Genomic DNA, 14,520 nt, shown 5'->3' with positions numbered 1-14,520 from the left:
AATACGAATCTAGACAAACACCTTACATCCTTAAAAAAACTTAACTCAAAATGGGCCACTGACCTAAATGTAAAACATAAAACTGTAACATTTGTAGAAGAGAAGAGAAAACCTGGATAATCTAGGGTTTGTTGATGACTTCAGATACAACACCAAAGCACAGTCCATGAAATAAAGAACTGATGAGATGGACTTGCTCTGTCAAAGACAATGTTAAGTGAAGCCACAGACTGGGAGAAAATTTTGCAAGTCACTGCTGATAAACGGCTGTTATCTACAAATTACAAAGAATTCCTAAAACTCAACAATAAGAAAATGAATAACCTGATTGAAAAAAATGGGCAAAAGACCTGGACACCTCGCCAAAGTATATAGACGGCAAGTCAGCATATGAAAAATGTCAACATCATATGTCATTAGGAAATTGCAAATTAAAACAATATGAACCACTACATATCTAGCAGAACAAAGAAACCCAAAACACTGACACCACCAAATGCTGGCAAGGATGTGAAGCAACAGGAACTCTCATTCATTGAGTATAGCCACTTTGGAAGGTAGTCTGGTGGTTTCTTAATAAACTAAATATATTCTTACCATATGATCCAACAATCTTGATCCTTGGTATTGATCCAAATGAACTGAAAACTTATGTCTATACAAAACCTTGCACACAGATGTTTATAGCAGCTTTATTCATAATTGCCAAAACTTGGAAGCAACCAAGATGTTTTTCAGTAGATGAATGGATAAACTGTGGTATGTCAGACAATGGAATATTATTCAACGCTAAAAAGAAATGAGCTATCAAGCTTCGAAGAGAAATGGAAGAAACGTAAATACATACTGCTAAGTGAAGAAGCCAGTATGACTATACGACATTCTGGAAAAGACAGAACTATGTAAACAGTAAAAATGTCAGTGGTTTCCAGGGGTTAGAGAAGAGGGAGGAATGAACAGGCAGAGCACAGAGGATTTTTTAGGGCAGTGAAACTATTTTGTATGATACTACACTGGTGAATACATGTCCTTATATACATGTCAAAACCCATAGAATATACAACACCAAGAATGAGCCATAATGTAAACAACAGACATTGAATCATTTGAAAAAATCATGCTGTGCCCACATGCTGGACTGTATGGCAACTTCATCAAACTGGAAATTCCAAAAGAATTAAATTAATACAATGGAAAGAGAGGCAAAAAAACGTGAGTAGGGGGATCATCTGCTCCTTAAAATTGCTTCTTTTCCTCCCAGAAATTCTGAAATCTAAATTTTAATTCATCAATAGTATGCACTACCCTGACAATTATTCTATCATGGTGACTTTATTTCTCTCAAATACATGTACAAATAACACACTGGTGGCCGGGCGTGGTGGCTCACACCTGTAATCCTAGCACTTTGGAAGGCCAAGGTGGGCGGATCACTTCAGGTTAGGAGTTCGAGACCAGCCTGGCCAACATGACAAAACCCCGTCTCTACTAAAAATACAAAAATTAATGCTGGGCGTGGTGGCATGCACCTGTAATCCCAGCTACTCAGGTGGGTGAGGCACAGGAATTACGTGAACCTGGGACGCAGAGGTTGCAGTGAGCTGAGATCGCACCACTGCATTCCAGCCTGGGCGACAGAGACTCTGTCTCAAAATAAAAAACCCAAAAAAACAAAAAAAACCCACATTGGTGAAAACATCACTGTGTCAGCTGACAGTACAAAGTTCCAAAGTATGTGTGTGTATATATATATATATATATATTTTTTTTTTTGGACGGAGTCTCACTCTGTTGCCCAGGCTGGAATGCAGTGGTTCAATCTTGGCTCACTGCAACCTCTGCCTCCCACATTCAAGTGATTCTCCTGCCTCAGCCTCCCGAGTAGCTGGGACTATAGGTGCATGCCACCACACCCAGCTAATTTTTTAATTTTTGGTAGAGAAAGGGTTTCACCATGTTGGCCAGGCTGGTCTCGAACTCCTGGCCTCAAGTGATCTGTCCACCACAGCCCCCCAAAGTGCTGGAATTACAGACATGAGCCACCATGCCTGGCCTCTAAAAAGTATTTTTACAGGTGCTTTTGCAAAAATACTATTTGGAAAAAAGGTACACTAATTTTGATGTGTTATTTATCACATTAAAAATAACAATAACCTTAAAAGAATCCTTTCTGGCAATGGTAAGAATATTCTGAGATTTTTTTTTTTTTAACAGATAGGGTCTCTTCATGTTGCCCAGGCTGGTCTTGAATTCCTGGCCTCAAGCAAGCCTCCTGCCTCAGCCTCCCAAAGTGCTGGGATTATAGACGTTAGCCACTGCACCTGACCAGATTTTCATTCTCTTAAAGCCCATGAGAGTGTGTATTTTAAGGGGGCTAATCCAACTTTTAATGTTCCAAATACATCATTTAAAAATAGAGGTGCTCTTCTAAGAGGCGGGACAAGGCATTCACATAATCCAGAAGCCATTTTAAAACGGTGTTCCTTCTGCTCAATGTCATCTATCAGTGTCTAATTAGGTTTTGATATATTTTTGCCTTAAATATAAAAGGCTGATGCTAAATTCATCAGCACCACAGCATAATAAGGTAATTATTTCCAAGATGTGAATTATTTGTGAGATTCATTTTCTAAATCTGTTATTCAGCCTAAAAATAGAAAAATGAAAACTGACAATGAAATATTTTTTGTATAATCAATTCTAATGACTGCTTTACACTGACAAAAAAGAAAACAGTAATTATATACACTTTGTACAATAAATAAAACGTAAAAAAATATTTCAATACATAGAAGCTTTACACATCCAAAATACAGTACATATATATGAAATATCTCTCTAAAATTCAATGAAATACTACAAACTACTATAATTTTCATTATAAATTATATATATTTCAATATAGAAATGTTTTTCTTTAACATTTTAAATTTCAGAGATAACTTGCATGGTAATATTGTGGAGAATAATTTTACATACCAAGCTTTTTAGTAATTAATTGTAATTAATAATTCAATGGAAGGGCATGATTGTGATAATATGAAGAAAAATTTCTTAATTATGCCAAAAGTACCATTTTTAGGAATATAAAGATACAGTGTTCCATTTCTGTATAGATGGTAATGCTGAAAATACAAGGGAAGGTATTAGATTTTTTCAGTATCTGTCTTGAGTACAACTCTGTAGAATGGTGGGGGCCAAACTGAGGGATTTCTATAAAGTCAAATTACTAGATTACCATCCCATCTCATTACTTACAAAAATTACTTTAGAAGCAGTCTTCTAAGGCAAAATGTATTTTAATATGTCTCAAAAAGTTAATAAAAATACTGCTTCTTAATGTTTCAAAGCCTGTATGATAAATAAACCTCCACTTTATGTACTTTAAAACATGGTCTTTATATATAAACTAGACAAACTAATAACTTAGGGGTAATGGAGAGACAACTGAAGACATTTATTCCTCTATTCGAATAAAGGTGAGGAAAAGTTATGATGATGCCTAAGAATACTTTACTAGGTAAGTGTCGAAAAGGTCAGGAGTTCAATATTTAATACCATTTTGGTGTTTGCCTATTTTATAATATTTGACCCACTGTATTAGTTATTCAAGAAGAACGTTAGGTAACTTTAAAATGACTTGAGAAAGTTTATTCTTTCTGAAAGTGTATATGTAGTGTTTTGACATACATACATGTATTTATATATTTATAAAATTATGTTGCAGATTTCTGAAGTTCTTGAGAGTAATTTCTTATTCTCAAATGTATGTAATCTTTCCAGTAAAGAATACACATTGATTTAAAATCTGTTATAACTGTACTTACTTTCAGAAAGAATATTTGTTCTGCAGTTTGTAAGGAAATTTGTTTACAAATATAAATTAATCTGCATTAATATCTTTTTTCCATATATCCCATGGCATATAGTCACTTAACAGAGTGACTGTTTTTTTATCCTTTAAATTTTATCCTTTAAATAAAGCCTGCAATTTGGGAGTGTAAATGTATAGTCTGATTAAAAAGTTAAAACATACTAAATATGTAAAGTATATAACAATTTAATTGCTACTGATCCACTGATATTTATTTTCTGTTTCTTCTTTTTGGACTCTTTGTTCTTCTCGGTGATTAGCTGCAGCCCAAAATGTTATTTTTTTGAGTACTTGTTGCAGAAGTTTAGGAGGTAATAAAGATATCTGACTTTCTAACATGATAGAATTTTTACCAATGCAGTCAAGGCATGACCTGTAAATAAAACATAACAGAATTATTAGTCTTGAACCTGAGGTTATAATATAAAATATTTATAGTTAAGAATTCTTTCTTTTTTAACATTGTAGTATTGGACTTTCACAGATCTTTTTTTAATTTTTAATTTTTGTCAGTACATAGTAGGTACATATATTTATGTGGTACATGAGATGTTTTGATACAGACAGGCAATGCATAATAATCATGTCATAGAAAATGGGGTATCCATCCCCTCAAACATTTATCCTTTGTTATAGTTAAGTATTCCTAAAATTTAAAATCATCATAAAAATTTTACATGGCAATGCATTCATTTGTTTTGTTTGGAACATGATAGGATTTTTTTTTCCCAGAGCACCATAATAATCATATATTTTTATAGCATAGAGACTAAATCTGACCAAAATCCAATGGAAACAGAATATATGGCTTACCATGCATAATGTTCTTTAAGTAAAAATGATTCAGACTTAATTTCAAACCAGATGAGTCTATGGCAGCTCCTGTTTATGTCATCCTTTCAGTCAGCCCAATAACCATATACCCTTCTCACAGAACTGTCCTTTGCTTCTGTCACCTCAAGATGAAACATCTATTTTTATATCTGCTCCATGTTTCTTCCATAAACAACTGCACGGGGGTTACACACTTGACTTATTTGACCCAGAGAGAGCAGGGTGAAAGACAGGAATGGAGCGATACAGGAAGTGCCAAGAGACCACTTGGGTTTCTACTCTTCTGGGGGCGTGGGTGTTCATTTCTTTTCCCCTTTGATTCCATTAGACTAGAGGGCAGTATCCTTCCAAGTACAATGCCCTTTTTAATCTTATGCTATTTTGAAGAGCATTTTGTACTTTAAAACCACAAGAAACTTAAGAACTATCAAAAAAGCATCTGTTTCAATTAATAAACTTTAATTCAAAAAAATAAGTGTTAAAAATTTTTTTAACAGACTCATTTGATTCTGCTGTGGGTAACTTTAGCTGTCATTTTTACAAGCACTTATACTCTAGAGATTTAGATGTTCTTCTCTACTCTTTGAAGCTTTTTCCCTCCACTCTGGAACAACTCTAAACAAGAAGTGAGTTAAAATGTCCTGAGAGGTTGAAGTAGAGGTACAGGGTTCTGTGGGAATCAGAGGAGAAGAATAACTAAGACAACCTTAGCAAGCCAGGGGAAACTCTCCAGATGGAGGTCCAAGCTGAGACCTTGAGGTCCTCAACAAATTAAAGAAACAAAGGTATTCCAGCTAGAAGAACCACATTTGCAAAGCCCTAGAGACGAGAAATAAGATTACAGAAACTGCACTTCTATTGTCTAAATACAGCTGGAGGGCAGAGCGCGAGTGGGGCATGGCCAGAGGTGAGACAGATAAATGGAGGCCCTGAGGACCATGCGAAGGAATCTGCTGTTTGTCTCTGGCAGTGCGAGCCAAGCAGGAATCATCACAATACAACATGTGATACATCAGTTTTCCATAGTAATATATAAGAATATTTCATGACTAATTTTTTTTTCCTGAGATGGAGTCTTTCTCTGTTAACCAGGCTGGAGTGTGGTGGCCTGATCTCAGCTTACTGCAACCTCCCACTCCTGGGTTCAAGCGATTCTCCTGCCTCAGCCTCCTGAGTAGCTGTTATTACAGGTGTGTGCCACACCACGCCTGGCTAATTTCTGTATTTTTAATAGAGATGGGGTTTTGCCATGTTGGCCAGGCTGGTCTTGAACTCTTACCTCAGGTGATCCGCCCACCTTGGCCTCACAAAGTGTTGGGATTACAGGCCTCACTGCGCCCAGCCTGATGCCTAATTTTTATAGTAGCCCCAAATTCCCAAATTGCAGATATCCTAAATATAATAGACTAGTTAATAAATTGTATTTCTTTTTTTTTTTTTTTTTTTTGAGACGGAGTCTCACTCTGTTGCGCAGGCTGGAGTGTAGTAATGTGATCTCGGCTTACTGCAGCCTCTGCCTCCCAGGTTCAAGCAATTCTCCCTCCTCATCCTCCCGAGTAGCTGGGACTACAGGCGCATGCCACCATGCCCAGCTAATTTTTTTGTATTTTTAGTCGAGACATGGTTTCACCACCTTGGCCAGGCTAGTCTTGAACTCCGAACTCCTGCCCCTTGGGTGATCCACCTGCCTTGACCTCCCAAAGTGCTGGGATTACAGGTTTGAGCCATTGCACCTAGCCAATAAACTGTATTTCCACGAGATAGAACCTATATAGCCATTACTAACTTAAGTATAGATTTATTATACTGAATGATTATTTACATGAAAGATATTACAAAACAGACTGCATAATTTGATCCTTTATACATTCACATATACATATATGTGTACTGCTCTTGCTGAGGTTTCCAATGACCTCTTAGCATGATTAAGTTCACTCTAATCATTTAATAAAATCATTAAAATCATGTATATAGGGTTATATATTGATCATTATATAAATGATTTATATATAAAATCTCTCTCTGCTGGGCGGGGTGGCTCACGCCTGTAATCCCAGCACTTTGGGAGGCCGAGGCGGGAGGATCATGAGGTCAGGAGTTCGAGACCAGGCTGGCCAATATGGTGAAATCTCATCTCTACTAAAAATACAAAAATTAGCCGGGTGTGATGGTGCGTGCCTGTAATCTCAGCTACTCGGGAGGCTGAGGCAGAAGAATTGCTTGAACCCAGGAGGCGGAGGTTGCAGTGAGCCAAGATTGCGCCACTGCACTCCAGCCTTGGTGACAGAGTGAGACTCTGTCTCAAAAGAAAAAAAAAAGAAAAAAAATTTCTCTCAGTATATATATACATATATATACATGTACAATTTTTATAATTTTACTAATACATGTATATATATACCCCCTACGATGGCTCATAGGTGATTTTTTTACTATATACTTTTCATATCGTATGAATTTTCTTGGTAAATACATCTTTTTACAATCAGAACAATATAGCTATTTCTTTTAATTTCTTATAATATTCTTTTATATCCAAAGGTAAGATGAACATGATCCCACAAATCTACTAGACGATATAAGCCACTTCCTATCATTTCTACACTTTTTCATCTTCTGCATCATTGCTTATCTCCCCTCCCAAACCTGGGTTTTTTGCTTTTTGGAACACCAGCTGTATGTTCTATAAACACCCCTGCTTCCTCTGACTTTCTGAAATCTAAGAAAATTGTTGTGTGTGCAGCTTTCTTGAGAAAATAGTACACATTTTCCCTCATCTCCATTTTCACAGTCAAGGATCCAGTGTCTGTAGTCTCACTTCTCACCACTGCTTCCAGGTTATATCATTTCACATGCAGGTGTTGCCATCTACTAACCTCCAGCTCATTTTCCCCCAGTCACTGAGGTCTTTGGCCCTGGCTCACCACAGTCCCTTTCCTTGACTGATTTTAGCATCTGTGTGGAGAAACCTTTTCATTCTTTATGACCTTGCTCAGGACAGTTCCACCTGTGAAATCTTAAACTCCCATCCTCCTCTTGGACCAGAAACCTCTTATCCTTTTAATTCTTACATTCCCTTACTCTTTGGACTCTTCTCGGTTCTCCAAATAATAAGACCCTTCCAGTTTTAACTTTCTTTTGTATCCAGCCTAGCTCACCTGCACTTCATTCTCTTGCCAGCAATTTTAATCCCCTTCACCGTTTGTTACCCATCCCAGCCAAACTGCAATGATGGATAAATTCAGCCAGTCATCTCCTTTCTGCACCTGCGACCCAGCTGTTTAGTGCTACTGGGGAAAGCCATGTTTCTCAGCTATGGTGCCACTACATATTGATGATATTCTACCTCAGCTGCGTGCTACTTTGTTATATATCCCGCAGACAGACGTCAGCATCTTCCTGCAGTCACCTAGGCAGCTACTTCAAATCTTCACCATTCATCTTAAGTTCTTATCCTCACCTCTCTTTTCTCTTATCAGATGACCTCACTATCAACTAGAACTTCTCAATGTCCCACCCCAACCAAAAAAGTTTTCTATCTATATATCCATACTTCCTTCTTTCTCCACTATTTTAAAGAAAAGAATCCTTTCTCCAGTCAAGGACTAATTTAAAAATCTGTTTGCTAAAATCACCTTCTCAAGACACTGCTCTACCCGCTTTTCCTGCATTTTCTTGTGTTTCTAACAACCTACTCTCCATTGGCTTCTCCTGCCCAACCGGCATATAAACAAACATACTCATCCTCCCTCGGTCTTGGTGCTCTTCCCCAGAAGTCACCCTTCACTAACAGAGAAATGGTGGAGAAGGGGATTAAAATTGCTGGCAAGAGAAAGAAGTACAGGTGAACTAGGCTGGATATGAAAGAAAGTTAAGGCTGGGTGTGGTGGCTCACGCCTGTAATCCCAGCACTTTGGGAGGCCGAGGCGGGTGAATCACGAGGTCAGGAGATCGAGACCATCCTGGCTAACATGGTGAAACCCCTGTCTCTACTAAAAATACAAAAAATTAGCCGGGTGTGGTGGCGGGCACCTGTGGTCCCAGCTACTCGGGAGGCTGAGGCAGGAGAATGGCGTGAACCCGGGAGGTGGAGCTTGCAGTGAGCTGAGATCGCGTACTGCACTCCAGCCTGGGTGAGAATGAGACTCCGTCTCAAAAAAAAAAAAAAAAAGAGAGAAAGCTAAAACTGGAAGGGTGGAAGGGTCTTATTATTTGGAGAACCGAGAAGAGTCCAAGGAGTAAGGGAGTGTAAGAATTAACAGGATAAGAGGTTTCTGGTCCAAGAGGAGGATGGGAGTTTAAGATTTCACAGGTGGAACTGTGCTGAGCAAGGTCATAAAGAATGAAAAGAGTTCTCCACACAGATGCTAAAATCAGTCAAGAAAAGGGACTGTGGTGAGCCAGGGCCAAAGTCCTCAGTGACTGGGGGAAAATGAGCTGGAGGTTAGTAGATGGCAACACCTGCATGTGAAATGATGTAACCTGGAAGCAGTGGTGAGAAGTGAGACTACAGACACTGGATCCTTGACTGTGAAAATGGAGATGAGGGAAAATATGTACTATCCACAGTGCTTTTCAATCCAAATGTTCTAGGATCTCTTTAGTCTTTCCTTGTTCAGATCTCCCTTCTCTTGGTTTTTGTGCTACCATTATCTCCTGGCTAGCCTTCAACTTCTCTGGTCACTCTCTTGCTGCCTCCTTTTCTTCTCCCTCCCCCTCAAATGTAGTAAGGTCCTAATGCTGAGTTGCTGGCTTTCTCCTTACTTCTAAAACTCCTCCTGGCCAGAGCTAATCCACACTTACTAATTCTCCAATGATTATGAAATTTTATGTCTGGCCCAGACCTCTTTCCATATATTTAAGCATTTAATGGATAGCTCCACTACAGTTCCCATAAACACTTAGCACGTCCAAAACCAAACTCATCATTTCTACCCTTATGCCATCTTCAGACTGCTGCCTTTCTCCATATTCCTCCTATCATTAATTCTCCCCACTCCTTTTCCTTGGCATCTATTTAACTACCAAGTCCATTCTCCCTCCTAAATATCTCCATCTCCCTTCCTTCTCCAGCCCCATTGATACTTTCCAGATCAGACATTCACTCTGTACCTGACCACTGTAATAGTCTCTTTACCAATTTTCTTTACCCAGTCACATATCCCTTCAATTTTTCGTCCACTCTGTTGCCAGAGGAATTGTCTAACTTGTAATATGATCATCTTATTCTCTTGCTCCAAATTTTTCAATGGCTCTTGATCTCTTTACACCAGATACTGTAAAAGAGAGATAAAGTTCTAGATGACATATGATTTCTGATTTCTTGTCCAACATCATTTCTTGCAACTCTCTGCCTCATACTACATTCCAGGAATGCTCAAGAATTCAGTATCCAGAACATACTATGCTTTTGTATATATCTTTACACTAACACCCTTGCACTGTTTGTTCATGGCAAATTCTTAGCTCAAATCCTTCTTCTGCAAAGACTTCCCTAACCTTTGCCATCTTAATCATAGACAGACAAAAGGCCTTCTTCTCCAGTATTCTCATAAACTTTGTATATGTTTCTCTTAAGGCAATTTCCTTTTTCTATTGTAGAAAAAGTCTGGAAGCTTGAAAGTCTACCTTCTATATTATTAGCAATGTTAGGGAAAGGCCATGCCTTCTTATTTCATGGCACAGTGCCTTCCCAAGTAGGCACTCAAGTGTTTCTTGATCCCTGCATATGAGGAACTTGCAATCCAAAGTGCAGGCCACACCCTGGACTAATTAAATCATCATCTGTAGGGGCAGAACACAGGCATTAATTTTTTTGAAGCCCCTCATGAGAGTTTAGTTTGAGAACTACTGTGCTAAGAGAAGGGGTAGTTAAGAAAGACGTCAGAAAGGTCCAGTTTGAGCTAGTCTAATGGTTTTCAGGTGGTTCATGTTATAGAACATCTAAATGTCACAGTATACTCCTTGAAATATAACTTGTCCCCTCTCTTTATCTCTCTCTTTCTCATATGTCTTCACTTATGTTATTCCCTCTGCATAAAATTCCCACACTTGTTCACTGGGCAACTTCTACATCTCTCAAATCCTGCCTCCTTCCTCCCAACTCTCACAGGTAGAAATAGGGGCTTCTTCCATAATCCTCCCACTAAACTTTGTACAGACTCCTTTTAGAGTAAGAATGTATGAACTAAGACACTACAAGTCATAACACCAACTTAATACTAGCTTTGGGGTTAAAAAAGAAATTCTTCTATATTAAATATCTGTGTATGTGTGTATATACAGTCAGCCCCCTGTATCTGTAAGTTCCTCCTCTGTGGATTCAATCAACTGCAGATTGAAAATATAGTTAGGCTTATGACAGTTGCATCTGTACTGAACATGTACAGACTTTTTTTTTCTTGTAATTATTCCCTAAACAATACAGTGTAACAATTATTTTCATAGTATTTAAATTGTATTAGGAATTATGAGTAATATAGAGATTATTTAAAGTATATAGTAGGATAGGCATAGGTTTATATGCAAATACTACATCACCCTATATAAGAGACTTGAGCATCCATGAATTTTGGTATCCAAGTGGGGGTTTTCCTGGAACCGATCCCCACAAATACCAAGGAATGACTATATAACATATATATGATATATATTATTAGGCACACTCTAATTTCCAAAAAGTTAAAATGTGAAAAATGTCAGGCTTAGAATTAAGGAAATATAGTATGTTTAATATTACCATATAAACTAAAGGCAATTTTACAAACAAAACAGTGACTGTATTGTATGTGTACATACACACACACACACACACACACACACACACACATATATACAGGCTTTCAGTCTATTTCCAGGCTGGAGTACAGGAAACATGATCATAGCTCAACGCAGCCTCAAACTCCTGCACTCAAGCCATCCTCCCACTTCAGCCTCCCTAGTAGCCACAGTAGCCAAGACTACACACGTGAGCTACCATGCCAGCTACTTTTTTTTTTTTGTAGAGTCGTGGGTTTCACAATGTTACCCACACTGGTCTTGAACTCCTGACCTCAAGTGATCCTCCTGCTTTGTCCTCTCAGAGCACTCAATTACAGGTGTAAGTCATCACGCCACGCATGTATATTTTAATTTTTAAAACTCACATTGGTGTATAGTTCACCATTATAAATTTGATTATACTCTTAGGAAGATGTGAACATATTCTTGAATTCATGTCATAAGCAACCTGAAAAATATTTCAATGCTTCCCAAAAATGAGAAAGAAATTATCATATACTCATAGCAAATATATAGAAAATATTAAATTTGCTTACCTGAGTAGTGAATAAGGCTGTGTTTGAAAGATCAATAAATCATTACAGTGACCCTAATCAACACAAAAAAGGCATTATTAAGTTTTTGATAAAAATAACAATGAGTTAATAATTGAATGTTTCTTAATTTTATAAATGTAAAAGATATTGTATAAGGCAGCAAATAAATCTTTCTAGCTGTTGACACACACACATAAATTCATGCACACACATAAACATACATGTACATACATATACCTGCTACCTACAAACTTTGAGTTTGTGGTTTCCAATTTTCAGTGACCAAATTTTAACCTAACCAATAGCCTACATAATTGCAAATTTGAAAATAAGAAATACATTCTTCACCGAGAAGTGAGTTAAAAAATAACGGTAGTGGTTTTCTTTTCTTTTTTTTTTTTTTTTTGAGATGGAGTCCTGCTCTGTCGCCCAGACTGGAGTGCAGTGGTGCAATCTCCACTCACTGCAACCTCCAACTCCCAGGTTCAAGCGATTCTCTTGCCTCAGCCTCCTGAGTAGCTGGAATTACAGGCGCCCACTACCATGCTCTGCTAATTTTTTTTGTATTTTTAGTATAGACAAGGTTTCGCCATGTTGGCCAGGCTGGTTTCGAACTCCTGACCTCAGGTGATCCACCTGCCTCAGCCTCCCAAAGTGTTGTGATTACAGGCGTGAGCCACCGCACCCAGCCCAGTAGTGGTTTTCAAACCTTTTTTTTTTTTTTTTTTTTTTTGGAGACAGGGTCTGGCTCTCTTGCCCAGGCTGGAGTGCAGTGGTGCAATCAGAGCTCACTGCAACCTCTGCCTTCCTGGCTTAAGCCATCCTCCAACCTCAGCCCCGCAAGTAGCTGGGACCACAGGAACAGGCTACCACGTCCAGCTGGTGTAGAGACAGGGTTTCACCATGTTGCCCTGGCTGGTCTCAAACTCCTGAGCTCAAGCAGTCTGCCGGCCTCAGCCTTCCAAAGTGCTGGGATTACAGGTATGAGCCACCACGCCTGGCACTTTTTTTGTTTTTAAGCTGAACTTTTTCTTTCAAATAACTCATATGTAAAAATTTCCTCTTTACCTTGTCCTCCTTTTCCAGGTGGTCTCAAGATTCCCCGGGAATTCTCTTTTTTTTTTTTTTTTTTTAGGACGGAGTCTCGCTCTGTTGCCCAGGCTAGAGTGCGGTGGTGCGATCTCGGCTCACCGCAACCTCTGCCTCCCGGGTTCAAGTGATTCTCTTGCCTCAGCCTCCTGAGTAGCTGGGATTACAGGTGCACACCACCACATCCTGGCTAATTTTTGTAATTTTTAGTAGAGATGGGGTTTTGCCATGTTGGCCAGGCTAGTCTGGAACTCTTGATCTCAGGGTGATCTGCCCACCTCAGCTTCCCAAAGTGCTGGGATTACAGGCGTGAGCCACCACGCCCAGCCCTCCCCGGGAATTCTTAATTTGAAAGTCAAGATCTGGAAGATTATTTGAATAATGAGTCTCTCATCTAAAAGTTAATGTGGTAGAAAAGTCACAGAAAATGTATCTAATCCTTTCAAATAGGTCTTTAGAATTTCATAATTTATGATCATGCTTTTAATCAGAATTCCTACTTTCATGATAAACTTTGTATCCTAAATGAAGATTTCTAGTGCCAAGAAAGAGAAGACAAACCACAAAATTTGCTTTTTTAATAAATGCGAAGTTGTAGTTTTAATCTTTTAGTGAAGCACTGAATTCTCAGCCAAAGAAAGCTCTAAAACTTTCAATATACAAAACATTTAAGTTAGGGGCTTCATAACTACAAAATAAAGCAAATTCCATGGAGAGAAGCCATCCTGCTTTGGAGTTTGCCACTCCATAGGAGCAGCTCTGGAGATAACTGTGCCTCAAGAGATGAAAGGGAGCTAGTGCCCTCTGGGTTAGGCTCTGGCTCACCATACCCCATCCCTGATGGCTCAGAATCCTCTATTTCTGAGTGTCCTACACAAAACCACATCAATCATTCCTGAACTCCTGTCCCATTGTGTATAGTGTATAAATATGGCCGCCCTGCTCTGAATTTCCCAGGGTGCTAGGAGTGAAAGAACCATACTCTCCAAATGCTACTCATTTATGCCTCTGACCTTAGTTTTATCAAATTTTAAAATTGAAATGCTTTAAACTTAAATGTAAAACAGCTGAGTAAAGCAGTGGTAAAAGATATATAGTAAAAAAGAGAATAGGCCAGGCACGGTGCTGATGCCTGTAATCCCTGCACTTCGGGAGGCTGAGGTGAGTGGATCACTTGAGGTCAGGAGTTCAAGACCAGCCTGACCAACACGGTGAAACCTCATCTCTACTAAAAATACAAAAAATTAGCCGGGCGTTGTGGCACACGCCTGTAATCCCAGCTACTTGGGAGGCTGAGGCCGGAGAATCGCTTGAACCCAGGAGGTGGAGGCTGCAGCGAACCGAGATCATGCCACTGCACTCCAGCCTGGGTAACAGCGAAATCCTGTCTCAAAAAAAAAAAAT

General features: G+C 38.8%; 1 protein-coding gene across 2 annotated transcripts in view; it reads right to left on the bottom strand.

The window, feature by feature from the left end:
- Positions 1-2,682: 2,682 nt before the first annotated feature.
- KLHDC1 (kelch domain containing 1) overlaps positions 2,683-14,520 on the bottom strand; it is a 60,031-nt gene continuing 48,193 nt past the window's right edge. Inside the window, exons 12-13 of one of the 2 annotated variants that reach the window (NM_172193.3) lie at positions 12,028-12,080; positions 2,683-4,247 (exon numbers count right to left, since the gene is read on the bottom strand). In NM_172193.3, coding sequence (NP_751943.1) covers positions 4,061-4,247; positions 12,028-12,080 — 240 coding nt within the window. In that variant the 3' untranslated portion in view covers positions 2,683-4,060. Of the gene's footprint in view, positions 4,248-8,848; positions 9,988-12,027; positions 12,081-14,520 lie in introns of those variants that run through there. The other variant, XM_011536422.3, reaches the window with a different exon arrangement.

Source organism: Homo sapiens, chromosome 14, assembly GCF_000001405.40.
Source record: "Homo sapiens chromosome 14, GRCh38.p14 Primary Assembly".
NCBI classification, from domain to species: domain Eukaryota; kingdom Metazoa; phylum Chordata; class Mammalia; order Primates; family Hominidae; genus Homo; species Homo sapiens.
This window is presented reverse-complemented; position numbering and strand designations above follow the sequence as displayed.